Source organism: Homo sapiens, chromosome 9, assembly GCF_000001405.40.
Source record: "Homo sapiens chromosome 9, GRCh38.p14 Primary Assembly".
NCBI classification, from domain to species: domain Eukaryota; kingdom Metazoa; phylum Chordata; class Mammalia; order Primates; family Hominidae; genus Homo; species Homo sapiens.
Genome location: NC_000009.12, coordinates 91,960,578 through 91,987,333, shown reverse-complemented (window position 1 = coordinate 91,987,333; position 26,756 = coordinate 91,960,578). Strand labels below are relative to the sequence as shown.

The following is a 26,756-nucleotide window of genomic DNA, read 5'->3' as shown; positions in this document are numbered from 1 at the left end:
GATATCCACAGAATGGATTGTCCTATTCACCCAATTATTAAAGTCCTTTTTGCTGAGGTCACCCTTTGATAAGCATTCACATGAAACACAATATCTTTGTGTTCTTTTCCCAGAGAGGTCTATGCACATAGAGCTTCCCCAAATTTTCATGTCATCAATTTTCCAGTCATGTGCCTTCCAGGTATCTGATCATCCAGCCAAACCATTGGCTACAGCCCATGAATCAGTTTGTAATTGCATATCATGCCATTTCTTCTTCCAGGCAAAGTGGACAACCAGGTAAACTGCTCAAAGTTTGGCTCACTAGGAGGATTTCTCTTCACCACTGTCCTTCAGGGCTGTCCTGGAAAGGGGCTGCAGTGCTGCAGCTGTCCACTTCAGAGTGGGGGCTGCATATCCCGCAGAACCCTCTGTAGTCCAGGACTGACTGTTTTCTTCCTCTGACAATGATTGTCAGGAACTTACTTGTAAGACCATCAGTGCAGGCTAGGAGAGAGGAGGCAGTGTAGCAAGGCCACTTCACGTAATGTACTTGTGCCTTCAGGGCCTACTTGGGTCTGATCATGTATATACCACTTCTATCTGATGATGGAGTGCTGCTGTGCACACCCAACTTCATGGGTTGGTGGGTCAAATACCACCCAGTTTATGAAGGGCAGTGCAGGTGGCCTGGTAACTTGATGGCCCATGCTTGAGTGTTCAGCCTCTAAGACCCAGTAGCAGGCCAAGAGCTGTTTTTCAAAAGGAGAGTGGTTATCTGTTGAGGAGGCAGGGCTTTGCTCTAAAATGTAAAGGCCTGTACTGCCATTCACCCATACAGGCCTGCCGAGGGTTCCAACAGCATCCCTATCTGCCACTGGCATTTCAAACACCATTGGATCTGCTGAGTCATATGCCAAGCAGCAAAGCAACTTGACCAGCAGCCTAGATCTGTTGCAGAGCCTTCTCCTGTTGTGGGCTTTAAGCAAAACTAGCAGCTTCTCTGGTCACTTGGGAAATGGACTGGAGTAACACACCCAAATGAGGAATATGTTGCCTCCAAAATTCAGAGGCCCATTAGGCACTGTGCGTCTTTCTTAGTTACAGGAGAGGCCAGATGCAATAGCTTACCTTTCATATGAACACCTTAATGTGCCTCCACATCACTAGATGCCCTAGAAATTTCACAGACATAGAAAGCCACTGAAATTAAAAAAAAATATTATTTCCCATTCTCTGACATGCAAATGTCTTACCAATAAATCTAGCATATTTACTACTTCTTGTTCTTAGGTCCTGTCAGCATAATGTCATCAATGTAATGGATGAATGTTTATGTCTTCTGGAAGGGGAAGGCAATCAAAATCTCTGTGAACTGATTGTGACATAGAGCTGGAGAGCTGACACACTCCTATCAGTGTAGGTATATTGCTTGCCTTGCCAGCTAAAGTAAACTGCTTCTGGAAGTCTTCACTAACAGAGATGGAGAAAAAAGCATTTGCTGGACCAATAGCTGCACACCATGTACCAGGGTTTGTGCTAATTTCCTCAAGCAATGAAACTACATCTGCTACAATTGAAGTCAACACCTGATTAAGTTCACGATAATCCATCCACTGTCGTCCTCCAAAATCCATCTGTCTTCTGCACAGTCCAATAGGTGAGCTGAATAGGTTTATGGTGCATCCTTAAGTCCTTGATGGTGACACTAATCTCTGCAACCTCTCCAGAAATGTGGTGCTACTTTTGGTTTACTATTTTCCTAGTCAAAGTAGTTCTAGTGGCTTCCACTTGGCCATTCCCATCATAATAGCCCTTACTCCACTCTACTGGTCAGGGAACAAATGTGGGGATCCAACGAGCTGCTGAGTACATTCATTCCAATCGTGCGTCCTCAAACTAGGAAATCACAACGGGGTGAATTCAGGGACCTGCTGGGCATGGGGAGTGAATGATTATCGGGAGATTTTCTTTTAAGGGACACAAATTTTGTTTTTGTTTTTGTTTTATTGAGACAGGGTCTCATTCTGTTGCCCAGACTGGAGTGCAGTGGCATAATCTCGGCTCACTACAACCTCTTCCTCCCAGGTGCAAGTGATTCTCCTGCCTCAGCCGCTCTAGTAGCTGGGATTACAGGTGCACGACACCATGCCCGGCTAATTTTCGTATTTCTAGTAGAGACGGGGTTTCATCATGTTGCCAGGCTGGTCTTGAACTCCTGACTTCAAATGATACACCTGCCTTGGCCTCCCAAAGTGCTGGGATTACAGGGGTGAGCCACTGCAACCAGCCACAAACGTTTTAAAATTAGATTGTGATGATGGTATATTCATAACCTGGTGAATATATTGAAAAACATTACATTGTATACTTTAAGAGAGTTTTGTATATGTTAATTATATCATCAAGCTGTTTTTTTTTTTTTAATTTCAGTGAGTTGTTTTCCTCCAATTCAAACTTAACTCCATATGTACTTTTCCCTTAGAGACCTCTGTTTTTTTTTTCTCTGATTTTATTTTCCTTTTTACTCACCTAATCAAGAGGGGGCATTTAAAAGATTTGCAAAGTCATGGGCTAAAAAGAAAGAATTGTTAACTTTGCATAATGATGATGTTAAGGGTGATTTTTATTTGGGGGTTATACAAATTTTCTATAATTAGTTTTTTCTTTTTTACTATAAAAATACTGATTTTTTTTTTTTTTGAGATGGAGTCTTGCTCTGTCACCCAGTCTGGAGTGCAGTGGTGCAATCTCGGCTCACTGCAACCTCTGCCTCCTGTGTTCAAGCAATTCTCCTGCCTCAGCCTCCCAAGTAGCTGAGATTACAGGTGTGCACCACCACGCCTGGCTAATTTTTTTTTTTTTTTTGTATTTTTAGTAGAGACGGGGTTTCACCATGTTGGCCAGGCTGGTCTTAAACTCCTAACCTCAGGTGATCCACCCACCTCAGCCTCCCAAAGTGCTGGAATTACAGGCATGAGCCCCGTGCCTGCCCATACTGATTTTTTCTATTATAAAATAGCCTTCCAGCATCACTTTTACTTTTCAGCTTTCTTACTATTTCTGCTTTGCTTACCCATATAGGGGAGGAAACACTTATTTCTACCCTCTCAGGTTTTGTGGCTGGCCCAAGAATTCAGCTGAGATAGATTAACAGGAGACAAGCATACACATTGGTTTAATATTTTAACATGTGCACAGGAGTCTTCAGAAGGAAAACAAAGACTTGAAGAAGCCATTAGGCTCAAAAGTATAGACACCATTTTACACACAGAATGGTAAATTATGGGCATGTGACAAGATAAAGGGCTTGGGTTAGGGACAGTAAATTGTGGGATGGTGACTAGGAAATATGTGGGGAAAACCAGTAGGGGATAAACATTATTTTTGTAGGGCTTGTTTGCGCAGGTCCATTCTGCATCGACTCCCAGTCTCCGGTGACATGAATGTTCTCTTCCTGGTACAGGGAGGGCACCTTTCTCATGGGGAATTTTATGACCTGGTTTTAGGTAGAGAAGCGGCAGGGCAGAGAACCCTGTCTGCATCTGTTTCTGATGTGCTTTCAGTTCAACGAAATCAATATGCCAAAGACATATATATTGGGGTGGCCAGTTTTGCACCCCTTCACCCAGAATCCCCACATCCTCATAGTGGCTGAGCTGTTCCTCATCGTGGACTTGGTGGCACTTACCTGTATGGAATTTTCTTGATTTTCTTTGTGACTGAGGCATGAGTTTTCTTTTCTGGAAATATCGGATAGATGATAACATATCCATTAGAATACTCTTGGCTCATCTAAGCGATGAAGGTAACTATAAGTGGAAGGTGGGTTAGGTTCCAGGTGTGGTTGATGAGAGGCTCAGCTATGCCATCAGTGACTGGGGAGCTTTCTCTCCTTGTCCTCTGGCAGTTTGGGTGCTGGCTTTTCTCTGGCAAGCACAGTGGGGCAGCAGGGGAAGACCTCACATTCAGCCATGACAACATCTAGAAGGACATATTCCAGAATTCCTCACTTCCCAGCAGACTCTTCCTTCACCAGTTAAGGGAATGGAGTTCCACTGAGGGACAGGGTGGGGGGAGCATGGAAATGGGGGTGGGTCAGTTCTTCCTGGCTTCAGTCTGTAGGAAAGAAGACCTGAAGAGCAAACACAGAAACAAACCAAGGTACTGGAAGGAAGACAGAAGGTCAGATGGATGCTGGGTGGACAATCAGCCCAGCAGAGTTGCCCTAGCATGGCTGCCAGGACTTGGGTCCAGCAGGCAGTGAGCTTTCCACCTTCTCTCTGCCTCCCGAGGCCCCCTCTTGTACACACACACATTCATGTAGTTCTGTATTCCAGGGGGCACTTGCTGGAGCTGATTGACTGATGTAACCCATCACACTTCTGAGCTTTCAAGATAAAAGAGACATTTGCGGCCGGGTGCAGTAGCTCACGCCTGTAATCCCAACACTTTGGGAGGCTGAGGCGGGTGGATCACCTGAGGCCAAGAGTTCAAGACCAGCCTGGCCAACATGGTGAAACCCTGTCTCTACTAAAAATACAAAATTAGTTGGGTGTGGTGGTGCACACCTGTAATCCCATGTACTTGGGAGACTGAGGCAGGAGAATCACTTGAACCCAAGAGGCAGAGGTTGCAGTGAGCCAAGCTCACACCATTGCACTCCAACCTGGGCAACAAGAAGGAAACTCCATCTCAAACAAACAAACAAACAAACAAAACAAAACAAAACAAAACAAAACAAAAAACAGAGACATTGCACTGTGGCTAGACACAGAGTAAGCCCAGGTGAGTGTGTGTCTTAAAGCAGTCTGTGATCTGTGACTATCAGGGCAACTATCAGGCATGACATGATAGGTTGCATAGATCTGTTTTTTTTTAATTTTTAAATTGTGGTAAAATATACATAACATAAAACTTACCATCTTGGCTGGGCACAGTGGCTCACACCTGTAATCCCAGCACTTTGGGAGGCTCAGGTGGGTGGATCACTTGAGGTCAGGAGTTTCAGACTAGCTTGGCCAACATGGTGAAACCCCATCTCTACTAAAAATACAAAAATTAGCCTGGTGTGGTGGCACATGCCTGTAATCCCAGCTACTCGGAAGGCTGAGGCAGGAGAATCGCTTGAACCTGGGAGGATGAGGCTGCAGTGAGCTGAGATTGCACCACTGCACTCCAGTCTGGGGGACAGAGTGAGACCCTGTCTCAAAAAAAATAAAAATAAACAAACAATAAACAAACAAAACCTTACCATCTTAACCATTTTTTTTCCCACAGTTGCAAGATTTAATAGAGTGAAAACAGAGCTCCCATACAAAGGGAGGGGACCAAAAGAAGGTAGCCATTGCTGGCTAGGATGCCTGGGTTTATATCCTGATCATTGTCTCTCCTGCTGTGCTCTCAGGCGATAGATGATTGGCTATTTCTTTACCTCCTGTTTTTGCCTAATTAGCATTTTAGTGAGCTCTCTTTACTACCTGATTAATCAGGTGTGGGCTAAGTTGCAAGCCCTGTGTTTAAAAGTGGATGCGGTCACCTTCCCAGCTAGGCTTAGAGATTCTTAGTTGGCCTAGGAAATCCAGGTAGTCCTGTCTCTCAGTACCCCTCTCAACAGGAAAACCCAAGTACTGTTGGGGAGGTTGGCCGACGACCATTCTAACTGCTTCCTGCTGAATTGGGGTGTAGTAGGGGTTGTGCAGTTGAGATTTCCTCAGGAGGGGTGGCTTCAATGTCATCAACATCAGAGCATGGGCTAGCAGCCTGGTCCAGGGGTCCATGGTAGATCTTAGTCATAGACCTCATCTGGGGCTCCATTTGAAGAACTATTCGTAGCTTTACAGCTTCAATTCTGGAAGAGACAAACTTAACAAGGAGGTTAAACATACAGGTTCCAAAGAGGAGTAACAATATTATAGCTTCTAGAGGTCCTAAGAAGGGGAGAATCCAGGGCATCCATTGGCTGAGGAGGCCGCAGGGTCCAGTGTTTTGAAGCTCCTCTGCTCTACGTTGTATTCAATCTCGAATTTCTTTAACTTTCTCAGTGATGATTCTGGATTGACTAACATAATAACAGCATTCTTCCCCTAAAAACAAATAGGATCCCCCTCTTTCAGCGGTTAGCAAGTCTAAAGCTCTTCGATTTTGAAGGTCTACTGCTGCTAGGGAGTTAAGGTGATCTTGCAAGGTGACCAGGGAGTCGGCAACCGGTTCCATGTCACCATTTAGTTCTTGAGATAGTTTGTAGTAGAACTGAGTAGAGGTTGTAATACTGCCAATGCCAGTACCTAGTCCACCTAGTACTCCTGCTCCGATAACAAAAGGAAGAATGGGTACTCTTTTGTTGTGGGGCTTAGGTATGACATACTTGTATAAATCTTGTTCAGTGTAGATGGTCATAGGGGGCACTAAGAATGAGAGGAAGCACATAGATTCCGAAGAGCCATTCAAACAATGATAGGCTGGATACATTCCTCACTGAGGGCCCTGGTGCCTTTGGATAATTTTAGCCCTAAGTATTTAACCTGCTGTGAGCAGAGCTGAGCCTTCCGTTTGGAAATCTTGTAGCCACAGGCAGCAAGGAAATTTAAGAGCGCTTGGGTGACTTGATGGTACAGGTTTCTGAACAGGCGGCTAAAAGTAAATCATCCACGTATCAAAGGACAAGAGTGTCCATGTATGAGAACTGGCTCAAGTCTTGGGCTAATGCCTGGCCAAATAGATGGGGGCTATCCCTGAACCCTTGGGGTAAAACAGCCCAGGTGAGTTGAGACATTGGTTTAAAAGGATCTTCAAAACATCTTAACCATTTTTAAATGAACAGCTCAGTAGTATTAAGAATATTCGCATTGTAGGCCGAGGCAGGCAGATCACGAGGTCAGGGGATCGAGTCCATCCTGGCTAGCACAGTGAAACCCCATCTCTACCAAAAAAATAATGCAAAAAATTAGCCGGGCGTGGTGGCGGGCGCCTGTAGTCCCAGCTACTGGGGAGGCTGAGGCAGGAGAATGGCATGAACCCAGAAGGCAGAGCTTGCAGTGAGCCGAGATCATGCCACTGCACTCTAGCCTGGGTGACAGAGCGAGACTCTGCCCGCCCCCACCCCCAAAAAAGACGAATATTCACATTGTTGTGCAACCATCACCACCATTGATCTCCAGACTCTTTGTCTTGTAAAATGGAAACTCCATTCCCATTAATCACCAACTCCCAGTCCCCTTCCTCCAGCCTCTGGAAACCATCAGTCTACTTTCTGTCTCTATGATTTTGTCTGAGTACCTCATATGAGTAAAATCATACAGTATTTGTCCTTTCATGACTGTCTTACTTCACTCAGCATGATGTCCTCAAGGTTCCTCCGTGTTGTAGCGTGTGTCAGAGTTCTCTTCTTTTAAGGCTGAACAATGTTCCAGGGCATGGATAGATCACATGTTGCTTATCCCTTCATTCACTGATAGATACTTGGGTTGCTTCCAGTGTGTGAGTCTTTAACCAGCCGATTGGCCCTGAGGATCCATGCTCCAAATTCTCTATAAAGACCGATGGTTAGCTGTGTTACTTTTTTTTTTTTTTTTTTTTTTTTTTTGAGATGAAGTCTTGCTCTTGTCCCCAGGCTGGAGTGCAATGGCGTAATCTCAGCTCACTGCAACCTTCGTCTCCTGGGTTGAAGCGATTCTCCTGCCTCAGCTGCCCGAGTAGCTGGGATTACAGGTACCTACCACCACAACCGGCTCATTTTTGTATTTTTAGTAGAGACAGAGTTTCACTATGTTGGCCAGGCTGGTCTCAAACTCCTGACCTCAGGTGATCTGCCTGCCTTGGCCTCCCAAAGTGCTGGGATTATAGGCATGAGCCACTGCGCCCAGACTGCTGTGTTACATTTAAAGACTACCAAAAAGGTAGGTCTCAGACTTTCCAATGGTAGCTTGTTTTGAATTTAACACAGTTTCCAAATAAATTACTTTTTAAAAAAAAAATTTGTTCCATTTTTTCCCCCTGGCTTGTCATTCTGGAAGTAAAGAAAAACATTTCTGCACACTTCCCACAACAAACCTTCATGCTCCAAGAATGAGTCATCACATTTCTGGATGGAGCAAAGACGCACAGGCAGTGAAAGCATGCATTTAGTCTTCCAGTGAGGGATCCTGACACTGTGACTTAGCAGCTACCTTCAAGTGAGCTTTGAGGGTCAGGACTCGGTCAAGGCAATAAAGTCTCATTTTTTGCTAGAGAGGATGGGATCTGCTCTTGGTATTTATGGAGACTGTCAGCCATGGTCCACGAGGAATCATATCTCCTTGAGTCTAGGCTCCTCTGACAAGTGGCAGTGGGCTCTCCCTTTTGAGATACGGAGTCTATTTCTCCATCCCATGAATTTGGGCTGGCCATGCAATTTGCTTTTGCCAACAGAAGGTGGCAGAAGGGACAGAGTGCTGGCTCCAGGGTTAAGAGGCTTTGCAGTTCTTGCTCTCTCCCTGGTGGAACCAAGAAACCACCATATCTAGCCTGTGTTGGATGGAGAAGGACTCAGATGTCCCACCCCAGAGCTAGAAGCTGCGAGTGAGTCTGTTGGGTACGTACTTGCCCAGCTGCCCCTCTAGCTAAATGTGATCTTGTGGGTGAGCCAGGAGAAACCGGCAGAGGACCCACCCAGCCAACCCACAGAATGATGAAAAATAAATAATCATTGCTATTATAGGCCACTCCATTTTGGGATGCTTTGTTTAATAGAAATAGATAACTGATCCAGTATTTGAGAACATAAATGAGTTTCTGGCTCTGAGGGAGGATGCGGATAACAGCAGTCCCAGCGCTGCCAGGCTTTGTGTCTGAGAGGTGGTGGACCTCCGATCCCAGCATGGGTACCAGTCCTGGGAGGTGCAAGATTGTGCATGGCAAGACGACGCTGCTGGCTGGCATCACACAAGGGTCTAAGACTAGGGGACCGGCAGGTGGGGTGGCTCATGCCTGTAATCCCAGCACTGTGGGAGGCTGAGGCGGGAGCATCACCTGAGGTCAGGAGTTCAAGACGAGCCTGGCCAACATGGTGAAACCCTGTCTCTGCTGAAAAATACAAAAAAATTAGCTGGGCCTGGTAGCGGGCACATGTAGTCCCAGCTACTCGGGAGGCTGAGGGGGCGAATAGCTTGAACCCAGGAGGTGGAGTTTGCAGTGAACCGAGATCGCGCCATTGCACTCCAGCCTGGGCAATAAAATGAGACTTTGTCTCAAAAACAAAACAGGCCAGGCACGGTGGCTCAAGCCTGTAATCCCAGCACTTTGGGAGGCTGAGGCAGGAGGATCACGAGGTCAGGAGATCAAGACCATCCTGGCTAACACGGTGAAACCCCATCTCTACTAAAAATACAAAAAAAATTAGCCGGGCGTGGTGGCGGGCACCTGTAGTCCCAGCTATTCAGGAGGCTGAGGCAGGAGAATGGCATAAACCCAGGAGGCAGAGCTTTCAGTGAGCCGAGATTGTACCACTGCACTCCAGCCTGGGCGACAGAGCGAGACTCCATCTCAAAAAAAAAAGGACTAGGGGACCATCCCAGCACTGCAGCCCCTACACAGCCCCCACCTACTCCTCCTTCGTTAATTGAACATGTTGGACTCAAGCAGTTGTACTATGGACATGCCACCTGGAACTTCCCATCAAGTCACTAAAATTTTAGCAAACCAGCAACATCCTTGGACATGGCAGGGAACAATGCTGGACTTGCCCTGGAGGGTCCTAGGACTTCTAATGGGTGGGGGCACTAATCTTGATATTGTGCAGTCACCAGCCAGGAGCTGGGGAGCTCAAGGGCCACCTTTGCATGCATGGTCTGGAGCCCATTGGAGTCCTCAGGGTAGAGAACCAGTAGTGTAATTTATAAAGAACAGAAATTTATTTCTCACAATTCTGGAGCCTGGGAAGTCCAAGATCAAGGTGCCAGAAAGTTTGGTTTCTGTGAAGGCCAGGCCTCTCCTTTCCAGACGGCAGCTTAAACGCTGTGTCCCCAGAGGGGAGGAGCACTGTGTTCTCACTTAGTGGAAGGGACAGAAGGGCAAAAAGGGCCTATGTAGTTCCCTGCAGCCTTTTGATAGGTGGCTAATCCCATTCATAAGAGCTCCACCCTCCTGACTTAATCAATTCCGTATGTATGTATGTATGTATGTATGTATGTATGTATGTATGCATGTATTTATTTTTTGAGACAGAGTCTTGCTCTGTTGCCCAGGTTGGAGTACATTGGCGCGATCTCAGCTCACTGCAACCTCTGCCTCCTGGGTTGAAGTGATTCCCCTGCCTCAGCCTTCTGAATAGCTGGGACTACGGGCACGTGCCACCACACCAGGCTAATTCTTGTATTTTTAGTGGAGCTGGGGTTTCATCATGTTGGCCAAGCTGATCTATAACTCAAGTGATCCACCCACCTTGGCCTCCCAAAGTGCTGGGATTACAGGTGTGAGCCACCATGGCTAGCCATGACTTAATCACTTCCTAAAGACCCCACCTCTTAATACTTTCACACTGATGATTAATTTTCAACATATGAATTTGAAGGTGACACATTTAGACCATGGCAGGTAGTAAACACCCCTCTTAAAACCCAACTTCATTCTATTATAGATGGAATGCACATTTACAGTTTCTCCACTGCCTACCTTATCTACTATGACCTAGAGCTCAGTTTAACTGTCACTCCACCTACTTTATAGTAGTCCCACGTTATCCAGTTTTGCATCCCACAGTTTCAGTTACTCCTGGTCAACCACCATCTGAAAATATTATTAAATAGAGAAGTCCAGCACTAAAAATTCATACTTTTAAGCTGCATGCCATTCTGAGTAGTGTGAAAGTTTATCACACGCTACTTTTTTTTTTCTTTTTTTTCAGACAGAGTCTCACTCTGTTGCCCAGGCCGGAGTGCAATGGCATGATCTCAGCTCACCACAACCTCCACCTCCCAGGTTCAAGTGATTCTCCTGCCTCAGCCTCCCAAGTACTTGGGACTACAGCTGCACACCACCATGCCCTGCTAATTTTTGTATTTTTAGTAGAGATGAGGTTTCACTGTGTTGGCCAGGCTGGTCTCAAACTCCTGACCTCGTGATCTGCCTGCCTCAGCCTCCCAAAGTGCTGGGATTACAGGTGTGAGCCACCACACCCGACTTTTTATTTTTTTGAGATGGAGTTTCACACTTGTTGCCCAGGCTGGAGTGCAATGATGTGATCTCAGCTCACTGCAACGTCTGTCTCTTCGGTTCAAGTGATTCTCCTGCCTCAGCCTCCCAAGTATCTGGGATTACAGATGTGTGCCACCATGCCCAGCTAATTTTTGTATTTTTAGTAGAGATGGGGTTTCACCATGTTGGCCAGGGTGGGCTTGAACTCCTGACCTGAGATGATCCACCTGCCTCAACCTCCCAAATACTGGGATTACAGGCATGAGCCACCGCGCCTGGCCACACTGTCCTTCTTTGTCCTACCTGGGATATGACTTATCTCTTTGTCCAGTATATCCATGTTGCAGATGCTACATGCCCAGTAGTCACTCAGTAGACATCTCCATTATCAGATCAAAAAAACAGTATATATAGGATTTGGTAGTATTTGCACTTTCTGGCAGCTGCTGGGGGTCTTGGAAAGTATCCCCTGTCTTGGAAAGTATCCCCCCTTAGGGGATAAAGGAAGAACTATCATACTATGTGTATTGTTTGGTAGGGCAGCTGCAGTGGTTAATTTTCTGTGTAGACTTGGCTAGGACATAGTACCAATTTTTTGTTAAACACCAGCCTAGGTGTTGCTATGAAGCTATTTTTTTAGATGTGATTAACATTTAAATCAGTAGACTTCAAGTAAAGCAGAATTTCCCTTCATCATAAAGCCCATTTCCCTTCATAATGGGGGTGGGCCTCATCTAATCAGTTGAAGGTCTTTTTTTGTTTTGTTTTGTTTTGTTTTGTTTTGTTTTGTTTTGGTCTGAGAAGGAGTTTCACTCTTGTTGCCCAGGCTGGAGTGCAATGGCATGATCTCGGCTCACTGCAACCTCCACTTCCCAGGTTCAAGCGATTCTCCTGCCTCAACCTCCCAAGTAGCTGGGATTACAGGTATGCACCACCACGCCTGGTTAATTTTGTATTTTTAGTAGAGACGGGGTTTCACCTTGTTGGTCAGGCTGGTCTTGAACTCCTGACCTCAGGTGATCTGCCCATCTTGGCCTCCTAAAGTGCTGGGATTACAGGCATGAGCCACCACGCCCGGCCGGGGATAATATTTTTGTTACTGTATTCTCAAGTATCTAGACGATAATAAAGAATTATTAAATAAATGAGTGCCTGTGTGGAAGGTCTTAAGAAAGACTGAAATACCCTGAGAAGAAAGGAGTTCTGCCTCCAGACTCCCTTTGGACTTGCTCTGCAACTCTGACTCTTCCTTGGGGCTCCTGCCTGCCAACCTGATCTACAGAATTTGAACCTACTAGTTCCCACAATCCTGTCCAATTTTTTCAAAAATGGATATTTATCTCTGTCTCTCTCTGTATACACACACACACAGACAGACACACACACACACACACACACACACACACACACACACCCTGTTGTGCTTCTCTGGAGAACCCTGACTGATACAGCTACTCCAACAGACTGCCACACACTGGGTGGTTTAAACAAGGTAAGTGATTGTCTTGCAGTTGTGGAGGCCAGAAGTCCAAGATAAAGGTGTTGGCAGGGTAGGTTCCTTCTGAGGGCTGTGAAAGAGAATCTGTTACAGGCTGCTCTCCCAGCTTCTAGTGGTTTGCTGGCAGTTTTATATCCTTGGCTTGTAAAAGAACCACCCGGATATCCATCTTCATCTTTATATGGTATTAGGAACTGAATGTTTTTGTCCCCCCAAAATTCATATGTTGAAGCCCTAACCCCCAGTGTGATGGTATTTGGAGGTGGGGCCTCTGGGAGGTAATCAGATAGATGAGGTCATGGAGGGGGGGTGCCCCATGATGGGATTCATGCCCTTTTTTCTTTTTTCCAACTTTTATTTCAAGTTCAGGGGTACATGTGCAGGATGTGCAGGTTTGTTACATAGGTAAACATGTGCCATGGAGGTTTCCTGCACAGATCATCCCATCACCTTGGTATTCAGCCCAGCTATTCTTCCTGATGCTGTCCCTCCTCCCTCCCCAGCTTCCAACAGGCCCCAGTGTGTGTTGTTCCCCTCCCTGCGTCCTTGTGTTCTCATCATTCAGCTCCCACTTATAAGTGAGAATATGAGGAGTTTTCTGTTCCTGTGTTAGTTTGCTGAGGATAATGGCTTCCAACCACACCCATGTACCTGCAAGGGACATGATCTCATTCCTTTTTATGGCTGCATGGTATTCCATTTTATATATATATATATACATATATATATATACCACATTTTCTGTATCCAGTCTATCACTGATGGGCATTTAGGTTGATTCCATGTCTTTGCTATTGTGAATAGTGCTGCAATGAGCATACATGTGCATGTATCTTTATAATGGAATGATTTATAGTCCTTTGGGTATATACCCAGTAATGGGATTACTGGGTCAAATGGTAGTTCTGTTTTTAGGTCTTTGAGGAAACACCACACTGTCTTCCACAGTGGTTGTACTAATTTACACTCCACCAACAGTGTGAAAGCATTCCTTATTCTCCACAACCTCACCAGCATCTGCTGTTTTTTTACTTTTTAATACTTGCCATTCTGACTGGTGTGAGATTGTATCTCATTGTGGTTTTGATTTGCATTTCTCTAATAATCAGTGATGTTGAGGTTTTTTACCTATGTTTGTTGGCCACATGTATGCCTTCTTTTGAGAAGTGTCTGTTCATATTCTTTGCCCACTTTTTAATGTGGTTAATTGTTTTTTTCTTGTAAATTTGTTTAAGTCCTTGCAGTTTCTGGATATTAGACCTTTGTCAGATGGATACATTGCAAAATTTTTCTCCCATTCTGTAGGTTGTCTGTTGATTCTGATGATAGTTTCCTTTGCAGTGCAGAAACTCTTTAGTTTAATTAGATCCCATTTGTCAATTTTTGCTTTTGTTGCAATTGCTTTTGGTGTTTTCATCATGAAATCTTTGCCTGTGCCTATGTCCTGAATGGTATTAACTAGATATTCTTCTAGGGTTGTTATACTTTGGGGTTTTACATTTAAGTCTTGAATCCATCTTGAATTAACTTTTGTATATGCTGTAAGGAAGGGATCCAGTTTCAATTTTCTGTCTATGGCCAGCCAGTTCTCCCAGCACCATTTATTAAACAGGGAATCCTTTCCCATTGCTTTTTTTTTGTCAGGTTTGTTGAAGATCAGATGGTTGTAGGTGTGTGGTCTTATTTCTGAGTTATTTATTCTGTTGTATTCTTCAAAGCAGCCAGGCTGGTATGGCTGAGTCAACCAAATCACAGAGATGGCAGCCATCCCTCCCCCCAGGAGCTCTATCCCAGGGAGAGATCAGAGCTCTGCCGCAGGACCCAAGCTAGAGTTGCTAAAGCCCCCACAGGGAGGTCCTGCCCAGTGAGGAGGAATGAACCGGGGTCCCACTTAAAGAAGCTGTCTGGCCACAATCTGGCAAGGCAGCTGTGCTGCATTGTTGGGGACCCTTCCTTATCTGGACCATTTGTATTCTCCAAAGCCGACAGGCTGGAATTGCTGAGTGTACCGAACCACAGAAACGGCAGCCACCCTTTCCTCTGGGAACTCACTCCTATCTCAGGCTGACTCCAGCCTGTTGCTGTTGGATGTGGCTGGAATTCTAAGCCAGTGGGTCTTAACTTCTAAGGTGCCATGGAAGTGGGGCCTGCAGAATGACACTGCCTGGCTCCCTCCATTCAGCCCCCTTCCTAGGGATATATACGGACAGATCTCCTGCCTTACCGGGGATCCTGGGTCTGGAGTATGTCAGACTCCTGGGACTCTGTGAGTGCCTGAGCTGCTGCTGCCAAGACTACACACAACTCTGTGTATTGGACCTAAGGCTCTGGTGGCATGGGCTCCCAAGGGGATCTTCTGATTCATGAGTTGCAAAGATCTGTGGGAGAGGTGGTGTTTTTCAGGTGGTGTCACACAATCACTCACTGCTTCCCCTGGCTGGGATTGGGGGTTTCTTTGGCTCCGTGCCACTCCTGGGTGGTCTGTCACCCGCCCTGCTTTTTTTCATTCTCCAAGGGTTGAGTTGTTTGCCTAGTCAGTCCCAACACTAGAACCTGGATATTCAAGTTGAAGGTGCTGAATTCACTTGCTGCTTTCATTCCTTTCTGTGAGTGCCACAGACCGCAGCTGCTTCTAATCGACCATCTTGGACCCTCTCTCTTGTGGCCTTTTCTATGACACTGTCTCCACACACACAAACAGAGGAAAAGCCACATAAGTGAGAAGTCCATGGTCTCCAAGCCAAAAAACAGGCCATGATGAGGAACCAATTCTGTCATCACCTTGATCTTGAACTTCTCAGTTTCCAGAACTTGAGAAATAATTGTCTGATGTTTAAGCCACCCAGTCTATAGTATTCTGTTATAGAAGCCCAAGCTAAGACACATGGCATTCTCTTGTGTCTATGTCTGTCTGCAGATTTCACCTTTTCATAAACACACAACTGTAGTGAACTACGGCCCACTCTAATCACCTCATCTTAACTTGATTGCCCCTATGAAGATCTTGTCTCTAAACAAGGTCACATTCTGAGGTACTGGGAGTTAGGACTTCAATATATGAATTTTTTGAGGGGACACAATTCAACCTATAACACTTGGCCATCATGTATGAATCATTTCAACTTTCCTCCCACAAATTTTAACTTTCTATAATTTTATTCATCCTTCCTACCTATAGTGGACATTTGGAATTTGTTTGCTCAATAACCTCTCCTCATTCCTAATGGTTGCTAGTATCCTTTTGGAGAATCACTTTCCTATTTTGTGCTGGCATAGGCTCATTCAAATACACCATCTGCTACTTTTAAGGTCATAGCAGATGATTCTCCCCATGGCCAGTATCAGCACAGCTGCGGGGAGAGAGACACCTGTGCACCAAGTTCATCCAAATGAATGCTCTCTCCTGGAGCTTGAAACATGATGGCAGGAACATGGATTGGAGGTTATTCATTGTAGCAGGCTCGTACTCATCAGACTGACCCTATCTAGAACTCATGCAGTGATTCCTATTACAGGCCGTACTGAAGTCCACTGGTTTCCAGTGATTTCCAATTCCTGTCCATTCCTTGGTATTCCCCCATACAAATTCCTTTTTACTTAAGGAAACCTGAGTTTCTGTTCCTTCCAAAAAATAAGCCCTAAATAAAACATAAATTAGTGCCATTAGAAGGGTAAATGCATGTGGCAGGTTAAAGCTGGCCACAAATTCTTCATTGCTTCTCCCATGGATGAGGGGTCTCTTTCCTTCCCCTTAGACGTGGGACAGCCTGTAACTGCTTTGCCCGTTAGAATGTAACATATGTGAAGCTCTGTTAGTTTCAGGCTTAGCCTTTCATACCAATGGCTATTAGCTTGCTTTTGGAGCCCTGAGCAGCCATGTAATGAGATTGACCACCCCAAGGTGATCATGCTGTGATAAGCCCAAGCTATGTGGAAAACTCCAAGAAGAGAAAGACACTATGTGAAGAGAGAGAAAGGCCAATGAGCCCCAAGACATGTGAATAAAGAAGCCATCTGGAAAGGAAATGCACCAGCCCCAGCTATCCTTGTTGACCCTACGTGGCTCAGAGACAAACCACCCAGCTGAGCTCTTCCCAAATTCCTGACCTACAAACTCATAAGCAAAATCAAATGATTGTTTTAAATCCCCTGTTTTGAGGTAGGTAGTTACATAGCAATAGTTAACCAGAAGAAATAAACATATCCTCAGGAAATACAAGTATGGGATGATACAGAAAACCATGACACTCTCGGCCAGGCGCGGTGGCTAACACCTGTAATCCCAGTACTTTGGGAGGCCGAGGCAGGTGGATCACGAGGTCAGGAAATCAAGACCATCCTGGCCAACATGGTGAAACCCCGTGTCTACTAAAGTACAAAAAATTAGCCAGGCATGGTGGTGCACACCTGTGGTCCCAGCTACTCGGGAGGCTGAGGTGGGAGAATTGCTTGAACCCGGGAGGCAGAGTTGCAGTGAGCCAAGATCCTGCCATTGCACTCCAGCCTGGCGAGAGAGTGAGACTCCATCTAAAAAAAAAAAATGAAGACCATGACACTCTCACCCATACATGGGTGTGGGAACAAAATAGCTGATGTCATTCTGTGACAAAATCCGCATTCCTAGGATAAACCTCACTTGGTCATAGTGTATTATCCTTTTTATATTTGTAGAATTTAGTCTGCTAAAATATTGCTTAGGGTATTTTGCATTTAGTTCATTGCGGATGTTGATCTACAGTTTTGTTTTGTTTTCTTTTTCTTTCTTTTCTTTTTGAGACAGAGTGTAGCTCTGTCATCCAGGCTGGAGTGCAATGGTGTGATCTCGGCTCACTGCAACCTCCGCCTCCCAGGTTCAAGTGATTCTCCTGCCTCAACCTCCTGAGTAGCTGGGACTACAGGTGCACACCATCACGCCCAGCTAATTTTTGTATTTTTGGTAGAGACAGAGTTTCACCATGTTGGTCAGGATGGTCTCGATCTCCTGACCTCATGATCCACCCACCTTGGCTTCCCAAAGTGCTGGGATTACAGGCGTGAGCCACTGTGCTGGCCAGTTTTGTTTACTTGTAATGTCTACCTTGTTTTGGTATCAGGGTAATCCTGGCCTCATAAATTGAGTTAAGAAATATTTCCTCTTTTTCAATTTTATGGAAGACTATACATAGAATTGTTGTTATTTCTTCCTCAAACATTTTGTAGAATTCACCAAGGATGCCCTCTGGGTCTGCTATTGTCTTTGGGAGGAAATTTTTAACAACATTTGCAATTTCTTTAATTGTATTTAATAGATACAGAATTATTCAGGTTAGCTATTTCTTCCAGAATGAGCTTTAGTTTGTGTCTTTGAAGGAGCTGAGCAGATACATCTAAGTTGTTCAAATTATTAGAATAAAATAATTTAAAATATCTCCTTCTTACCCTTTTAATGTCATATGCTCTGTATGGACATCACTGATGTCATTCCTATAATGTGTCACTCTGGCTACAGATTCATCAGTTTTATTGATCTTCTGAAAGATTTGGTTTTGTTGATTTTCTGGTTTCTGCTTCATTGAATTCCCCTCTGATCTTTACTGTTTTTCCCCTGCTTTCCTTCCATTTAATTTGCTTTCTTATTTATAATTTCATAAGGTAGAAACAGAGGTCATTGATTTCTGTGCTATTAATTTCCCTTTAAATACTATTTCTGTAGCATCTCCATAAATTTTGTTATGTAGTGTTTTCCTTTGCATCCAATTCAAAATAGTTTGTAAGTTCTCTTTTTACTTCTTTTGTATTCCTTTGATCATTTAGCTGTGTGTTATTTAGCTTTCAAATATTTGGGGGATTTCCCAGAGATCTTACTGTTGTTGATTTGTAATTTAATTACATTGTGGTCAGAGAATATACTTTTATGACTGAATCCTTTTAAATTCATTGAGACTTGTTTTATGGTACAGAATATATACTATCTTCCTAATTTTCTTATATCCTTAAAAGAGCATTGCATGGAGTGTTTTAAAAATATCAGTCAGATCAAGCTGAAGGATAGCATTGTTAGGTCTTCTACATCCGTACTGATTTTCCATTTTCTATCAATTATTGAATGAGGAGTGCTGAAATCTCTCACTATAATTATACAGTTGGTTTTTTTATCTTTTCACTTTTGTATTATCTATTTCAGAGCTCCTTTATTAGATGCGTAATTGTTTATAATTTGGAAATGTTAAAATTGTGTCCTCTTGATGAACTGATACCTTTGTTATTATGAAATGGTCTTCATCACTGATACCATTTTTAACTATAAAGTCTACTTTATCTGATATTAATATAACCATTATGCATTCTTTTGACTAGTGTTAGCATGGTATATCTTTCTTTATCTTTTTACTTTTTACCTATTTGCATCTTTTTATTTAAATTGCATTTATTGTAAGCAACATATACTTGGGTCTTGCTTCTGTATTTAATCTGATAATTTCTGACTTTTAATTATAGTGCTTTGCCAAATATACTAATGTGACTATTAATTCAAATACATTTAAGTCAATCATCTTGCTTTTTGTTTTCAGTTTGTCCCATCTGTTCTTTTTTCTCTTTTTCTGCTTTCCTTTAGATTAACTGTATGTTTTTTATGATTCTGTTTGATCAATTTCATTGGCTAATGAACTATAACTCTTTGGTTTGTTATTTTAGTGGTTGCTTTAGGATTTGTAGCTTATATCCTTAACTTTTTGCAGTCTAGTTTCAAGGGATATTACACAATTTTAAGTACAGTGAAAACCTTATAAAACTATACTCTCATTTTTCCTTTCCTGCTCTTTCTGCTATAGTAGTTGTCATATATTTTAGTTTTACATATGTTAGAAACCCCACACACTGTTTCAGGCCACATGGTCTCAGAGCCTGAATTGTCTGAGCCAAAATCCATCCTCTTAATATATGTGCTAAACTGCTTCAAGAAAACAAACAAAAACAAATGAATAAGCAAAAACCCTGCGCTCAAATTTGGGCTCTGAGGAGCCTCAGCTATGAAAGACATGCTGGCTAAACATAAGGCGGGATCCTGGCTAAAATGCAACACAATCAGGAAATTCAACATCACATCTGTATGGATTCTTGATGGTTATAAAATTCTTGATGTATTATCAAATGCTACTAGGATGCAATTGATAGATTTCCAGAGTAATGTTACTCTAATCTATTTTTTTCACTTGGAAAGTATACATATTGTAATACACAGTTTTGTGTTGCGTAATTAGTATATTTAATTACACATATGGTGCTTACAGTATGCCAGGTACCATTCTAAATGCTGTACATATATTAATTTATTTACTATTACTTCATCGTAGTCTATTTACAACAAGCCAGTGACCATTGCTATAGATGACAATTCAGAAAATGTTTAACTTGAGAGTATAATCAATTTTGAGGATGGTATGCATTCTGTTATATTATTTTTGCTACATTGGTTAGATCAGGAGTTACCAAGACGGATTTAGTTTCCATCCCATGTGAATACTAAATTTCTTTCTATCCTTAAGAAGAAAAATACTTTGTGTTTTATTATTTCAACAAGTTCTCAATCTTATTGTTTCAAATTGACCCAATAAATTTTAGTTGTTACTGTTCATATCATTTTTATGATATGGCATCAGTTTCTCAAATAAACCCTGACAGGAGCAGGGTTGGAACTCATGGCATAATGTGTCGTTCGTATAATCTACACCCCCTAAGAGATGCATAAATCATACATTTTTGTGCAGTAGGATAGAAGGAGTTCCCATGTGCTCCAGTGAAGGAACTCTGAGCACATCTGTGGAATGTCAGTGCCCTGGTTCAGGTGGAAAAGACCATGTGAGGTGGTGGTCCCTTGGCTGGCAGCACAGACTCCCCAGAAAAGGTAGTGGCACATCACTCCAAAAGGCCTGTTAGAACCAGTGAGGGAAGCAGTTCAGCCATCCTGCCAGTGAAGCTGACGGGCGTCTGTGTGGATCTGATGACTCTTCTCTCTCCTTGCTATTAGGATGAATCACATCAGTCTCCCAGACAATGTCTTAAAGAAGAGAAGCAGGAGGAAAGTGAAATCTAAAAAGAGGCCATTTGGACCAGCACATGTGGAGAGTTAAATATTGAATAAACCCTCAATAAAAATAAGTAAAGTTGTAGTTTTATAAATAGTGATATGTGCCAAGGAGAAAATACAGCAGCAAAGGGAGATGGGAACAGTTAAGTTTGGGACTAGGGTGGTCAGAAAATGCTCCACTGAGAAGGTGACACTGCTGAAGGAGGTGGAGAAATCTTCCATGTAGGCTCTTAGGAAAGAGCATTCCAGGAAGCAGGGGAGCTGTACCCAACCTGTTGAGGGAGATTAAGCAAACCAGTGCAGCAGGAATGAGTGAGTGATAGACAGGGAAGGTCCTAGGAGCAGAGGGCACAGGGGAACAGATGGCCAGGTCACATGGAGTCTGCAGGTCACTGGAAGGATGTTTGCCTTTTCTTTTTTTCTTTGACATGGAGTCTTGCCCTGTCACCCATGTTGGAGTGCAATGGTGTGATCTCAGCTCACTGCAACCTCCGGCTCCCAGGTTCAAACCATTCTCCTGCCTCAGCCTCCCGAGTAGCTGGGATTACAGGCACCCGCCACCACGCCCAGCTAATTTTCTTATTTTTAGTAGAGACGGCGGTTTCACCATGTTGGCCAGGCTGGTCTCGAACTCCTGACCTCATGATCCACCCGCCTCAGCCTCCCAAAGTTCTGGGATTACAGGTGTGAGCCACTGCACCGGGCTGGGTGTTTGCCTTTTCTACAGATGGTGACAGTTGTGGAAAAAGTCAGTGGGAGAGAAGGAAACGGTGTGAGTTGGATTTTAAATGCAGCATCCCGGCTGCCACGTTGAGACCAGGCTTAGCATAGCAAGGATGGAAGCAGAGAGGGCAAGTTAGAGGCTGTTCCACTAATTCATCTAAGAGACAATGGAGGCCTGGACCATGGTCAAGCCCCTAAAAATTGGTCGTTATAGGAATATTTTCTGACGATAAAGCCAGCATGTTTGCTAATGGATTTGATTTGGCATGTAAGAGAAAGGGAAGAGTCAAGGGTGACTTCAAAGTCTCTGGCCTAAGTGATATTCACTGAGATGAGAAAGATTGCAGGAGGAGTATGCTATTTTTTGGACATTTCAAAATTTGATATGCCTTTGAAAACTCAAGTGGAAATGTTGAGTATGTCGTTGAACATCTGACCTTCAAGTTCAGGGATTCAGACTGGAGATGGTCATTTGGGAATATCAGCATCGAGTTGGCATTTAGACATGAGACTGGAAACTATCACTAAAGGAACAAGACATCCTAATATTTAGAAGTTAGATTGCTGAGAGGAAGCAGAAAAGGAGATTATAGAAAATGACCAGTATGGTCAGAAGGAAACCAGAGGAGTAAAATGTTTAGGAAGCCAAACAAAGGAACTGTTTCAAGGTGAAGGTCAAATGCTACTAATAAGTCAAATAAGATGAGGACTCAAATTGATTCCTTAGATTTAGAAACATGAAAGTCACCAAAAACCTTGTCGGCCGGGCATGGTGTCTCACAACTGTAATCCCAGCACTTTGGGAGGCCGAGGCAGGCAGATCACCTGAGATCGGGAGTTCAAGACCAGCCTGACTAACATAGTGAAACCCCATCTCTACTAAAAATACAAAAATTAGCCGGGCATAGTGGCAGATGCCTGTAATCCCAGCTACTCAGGAGGCTGAGGCAGGAGAATCGCTTGAACCTGGGAGGTGGAGGTTGCAGTGAGCCGAGATAGAGCCATTGTACTCCAGCCTGGGCAATAGAGCGAGACTGTGTCTCAAAAACAAAACAAAACAAAACAAAACAAAAAAACCCACACCTTGTCAAGAGTAGCTTTTGTAAAGAGATAGAGGTAAAATCCTGGTAGAAGTGGGTTCAAGGTCAGTGGAAATGGTGAAGTAAGAACCTCTAAAAATTTTCTGCTCCACAAAAGCAATGGGAAAACTGAGAGAACTGTCAGAATCAACTTTCTAAGAACTCCGGAAATTAACCTAAGGTTTGTAGCAATCCAGGGAGTATTTATGCAAAAAAAGAGGCCAAGTCTCAGTAAAAACAGTAAAATTATGGTGCTTTAACTTGCCCTATTCCCAATTTCTTCTTCAGCTTCACAGAAGCCTTGATAACCAGCAGCCTGTTAGCCACCAGAAAAAGCAGAATGGAGGTGGAGCTTCTTCAAAGCCTCCTTCCCAAAGAACTGTAATTCTTTGGTTTGTCTGGTGGTTCCCTGGAAGGTTCCACTTGAAAGGCTGTCTCTATTTGACCAGATTCAGAGCTTGCCTAGAGAGAAAAACCTTTTCCCAGAGATGTTTGTTGAAAATATTTACAGGCAACTGTTTAACCTGACTGCTACATAGTTGGGAAAAACAACAGGCTAACAAGGAAGCTTAAAAGGAAAAGCTGAAAAATGAGATGTCCATGGGGCTTTGAAATGCTCCAACACATTCCAGAGAATCTGGAAGGCTCTGCTCTGTGCAAACTCAGAAAAAACCCGAGAAGCCCCTAAGCTGCCACTTCTGATGGACCCTGAGCTTCTGTGTCAGCAGGAAGTGAAGGCGAAGGCAGAGTTGTCAGCTGCCTGGCTGAATGTGGAAGGCATGTCCCAGCATGCACACACAGGCCCTTGGCAAGGATTGGGAGACTGACTGATTCCAGGTGTTTAAGGAAATCTGTTCAATCAATAGCAGGCCAATAAGCTAATCAAGCAGAGACTTCAGTGGCCACACATGACAAAGAGTACTGTCTCAGTCCACTTGGGCTGCTGTAACAGAATACTATATCCTGAGTGGCTTATAAACAACAGAAATTTATTGCATACAGTTCTGGAGACTGGGAAGTCCAAGATCAAGGCACTAGCAGATTCAGTATCTGGTGAGGGCCTCTTCCTGGTTCATAGTTGGCACCTTCTTGCTGTATCCTCACATGGTGGAGGGGGGCAAGGCAGCTCTCTGGGGCCTCGTTTTATAAGGGAACTAATCCCATTCAGGAGGGCTCCACCCTCATGGCCTAATCACCTTCCAAAGGCCCCACTTCCTAACACTATCACATTAGGTTTCAACCCATGAATTTTGGGAGGACATAAACATTCAGTCTAAAGCAATTATAGACAGAATTAATTTCAGAAGAATTTTTAAACACACAAACAACAGCTAAAACAAGAAGCAACAAGGAGAAGTTCTGGAAAGGGGAGGAGATTCTGATTTCCAGAAATGTCACATTATGTTATTTAAATGTCCATGTTTTTTGTTTTCTTTTTTAAGATGAGGTCTCACTCTGTTGTCCAGGCTGGAGTGGAGTGGTATGATCATGGCTCACTGCAGCCTCAACCTCCTGGGCTCAGATGATCCTCCCACCTCAGCCTCCTGAGTAGCTGGGACTACAGGCATGTGTCACCACATCCAGATAATTTTTGTATTTTTTGTAGAAATGGAGTTTTGCCATGTTGCCCAGGCTGGTCTCAAACTTCTGGGCTTAAGCAATCTGCCCACCTTGGCCTCCCAAAGTGCTAGGATTATAGGCATGAGCTACTGCACCCAGCCAAATGTATAATTTTTAACAAAAAATTATGGAACATGTAAAGAAACAAGAGTGTATGGCCCATACATGTAGAAAAAAAGCAGTCAGTAGAAAATGTCCCTGAGGAAGCCCAGACATTAGACCTACTAAACCAAAGACTTGCAATTGGCTGCCTTAGGTATGTCCAAAGAACTATAGGAAACCATGTCTAAAGAAATAGAGTATGGCCAGGTACGGTGGCTCATGCCTGTAATCCCAGCACTTTGGGAGGCGGGGGTGGGTGATCACAAGGTCAAGAGTTCGAGACCAGCCTGGCTAACATGGTGAAACCCCCATCTCTACTAAAAATACAAAAATTAGCTGGGCGTGGTGGTGCGCACCTGTAGTCCCAGCTACTTGGGAGTCTGAGGCAGGAGAATTGCTTGAACCCGGGAAGTGGAGGTTGCAGTGAGCTGAGATCGTGCCACTGCACTCCAGCCTGGGTGACAGAGCAAGACTCTGTTTCAAAAAAAAAAAAAAAAAAAAAGAAAGAAATAGAGTATGAGAACAATGTCTTACTAAATAGAGAATACCAATAAAGACATACAAATTATAAAAAAGAAAATAGATTCAAAAGAGTACATCAAGAGATACATTGGAACAGACTCTTCAATGTATCTTTCAAGTTGTTTGCAACTCTTTCAAGTTGTTTGCTCTAAAATGGAACAGAAAAATGGGGCAGTAGCTGAAGTGGGATGTGGAATCAAAGGGGACTTTTTTCTTTAATAAGGAAGAAATAATAGCACGTTTGATTTGATGATGAGATTAATCCAGTACAGCAGCAACAAGAAGCTGCAGGAGATGGCAGGGGAAGAACCCTGTTGATCTTGAGCAGATGACAACAGATAAGCTTCAGTGACTCCTGCCTTTGTTAGGTGCGAAGGTTAGATAAGATGCCTCATCTTAACAGGAAGAAAGAGAGTGTTCACAAACAGCTGCACTGTATGTTTTTCTCAATGAAGTAAGAGGCAAGGTTGCAGCTAAGAATGAGGAGGCAGAATCCATGTTGTGGGTTTATGGAAAGAGAAAGGGTGGGAGAGCAAACCAACCAGGGAAACACTATGGGATTTCTGGCTAGGACTATGGGCCCAGTTGAGTAAGCCATTAGTTACTTAAAATGAGACTCATCAGCAAGGCTGGGTGATTCTCTGGTATGATGGTGCAGGCCAGCAGGTGGATTTAACCCTGGGCTGGGAGGTAGGTAGTCATCCTCCTTCACTTCCTTTTTTTTTTTTTTTTTTGAGACAGTCTTGCTCTGTCGCCAGGCTGGAGTGCAGTGGTGCGATCTCGGCTCACTGTAACTTCTGCCTCCCGGGTTCAAGCGATTCTCCTGCCTCAGCCTCCTGAGTAGCTGGGACTACAGGCGCCCGCCACCACGCCCAGCTAATTTTTGTATTTTTAGTAGAGACGGGGTTTCACCATGTTGGCCAGGATGGCCTCGATCTTCTGACCTCGTGATCCGCCTGCCTTGGCCTCCCAAAGTGCTGGGATTGATTATAGGTGTGAGCCACCACACCCGGCCCCTCTCCTTCACTTTCATTGCTGCTTCCAGGTCATTCCTTGTCCAAAAACTCCAGCCCTGAATCTATCTGTGTCAGTATGTACAGATCTACCTCATCCTTTTATACTGCCATACAACTGTATATTACATAGTATATATGTGTGTGTATATAAGTGTGTGTGCATATATACACTCATACACACACACGGTTCATCTAGACATTCCCTACTGATAGATATTTAGGTGATTTCTAATTTTTTTTTGCTATGAAAAACAGTATTGTATGTAGTAGGTAGTCTTCAAAGGTGGCTCCCAATAAAATACACCTCCAAGCTTTCATGTCCTTCCCACACTGCATCTGGGCTGATGCTGCTGTGGCTCACTTTAACTAACCCAGTCAAAATGAATTGGTGCTATAACAGGTCCAGGCCTAAGCCTTAAAAAGGCCTTTAAAAATATTGGCAGCTTTCTGGTGGACGCGGTGGCTCACGCCTGTAATCCCAGCACTTTGGGAGGCCGAGGTGGGTGGATCATGAGGTCAGGAGTTAGAGACCAGCCTGGCGAACACAGTGAAACCCCTTCTCTACTAAAAATACAAAAAATTAGCCCAGCATGGTGGCACGTGCCTGTAATCCCAGCTACTCGGGAGGGTGAGGCAGGAGAATCGCTTGAACCCGGGAGGCAGAGGTTGCAGTGAGCCGAGATCGTGCCACTGCACTCCAACCTGGGCAACAGAACAAGACTCAGTCTCAAAACAAAATGAAACAAAACAAAACTGGCAGCTTCCACTTTTGTGGTCTTGGGAGCTTGCACTATGTCAGAAGTCCAATACTCTTCTGAAGAAAGAGGCCACATACAGAGGCCTTAGAAGAAGGAGATGTCCCATACTTCCTCTGGAAACACAGGTCCCATGGAAGAGCACCAAGGTGCCAGATATGTGACTGAAGAAGCCATCTTGGATGTTTTCATCCACTTGAGCCTCCAAAGTACCATAAGTTA

The 26,756-nt window shown here is 44.0% G+C and overlaps 1 long non-coding RNA gene across 1 annotated transcript, besides 2 other annotated features; it reads left to right on the top strand.

Annotated features, from left to right (window-relative positions):
* Positions 1 to 1,277: 1,277 nt before the first annotated feature.
* Positions 1,278 to 20,788, top strand: LOC105376148 (uncharacterized). Its single transcript, XR_930124.1, has 2 exons — positions 1,278 to 1,639; positions 20,658 to 20,788. It is a non-coding gene; the product is annotated as an uncharacterized LOC105376148 (long non-coding RNA).
* Positions 12,724 to 12,893: an enhancer, noted in NCBI's record as "experimental_109489 CRE fragment used in MPRA reporter constructs". NCBI's record gives its function as "activates a minimal promoter by MPRAs in K562 erythroleukemia cells, with activity observed for the introgressed 9:94736808 or rs7854552 variant allele {active_cell/tissue: K562}" and the evidence as "EXISTENCE:reporter gene assay evidence [ECO:0000049][PMID:34662402]".
* Position 12,808: a transcriptional cis regulatory region, noted in NCBI's record as "Neanderthal adaptively introgressed variant 9:94736808 (GRCh37/hg19 assembly coordinates) or rs7854552 in the experimental_109489 CRE". NCBI's record gives its function as "modulates activity of the experimental_109489 enhancer by MPRAs in K562 erythroleukemia cells {active_cell/tissue: K562}" and the evidence as "EXISTENCE:reporter gene assay evidence [ECO:0000049][PMID:34662402]".
* Positions 20,789 to 26,756: the final 5,968 nt, after the last annotated feature.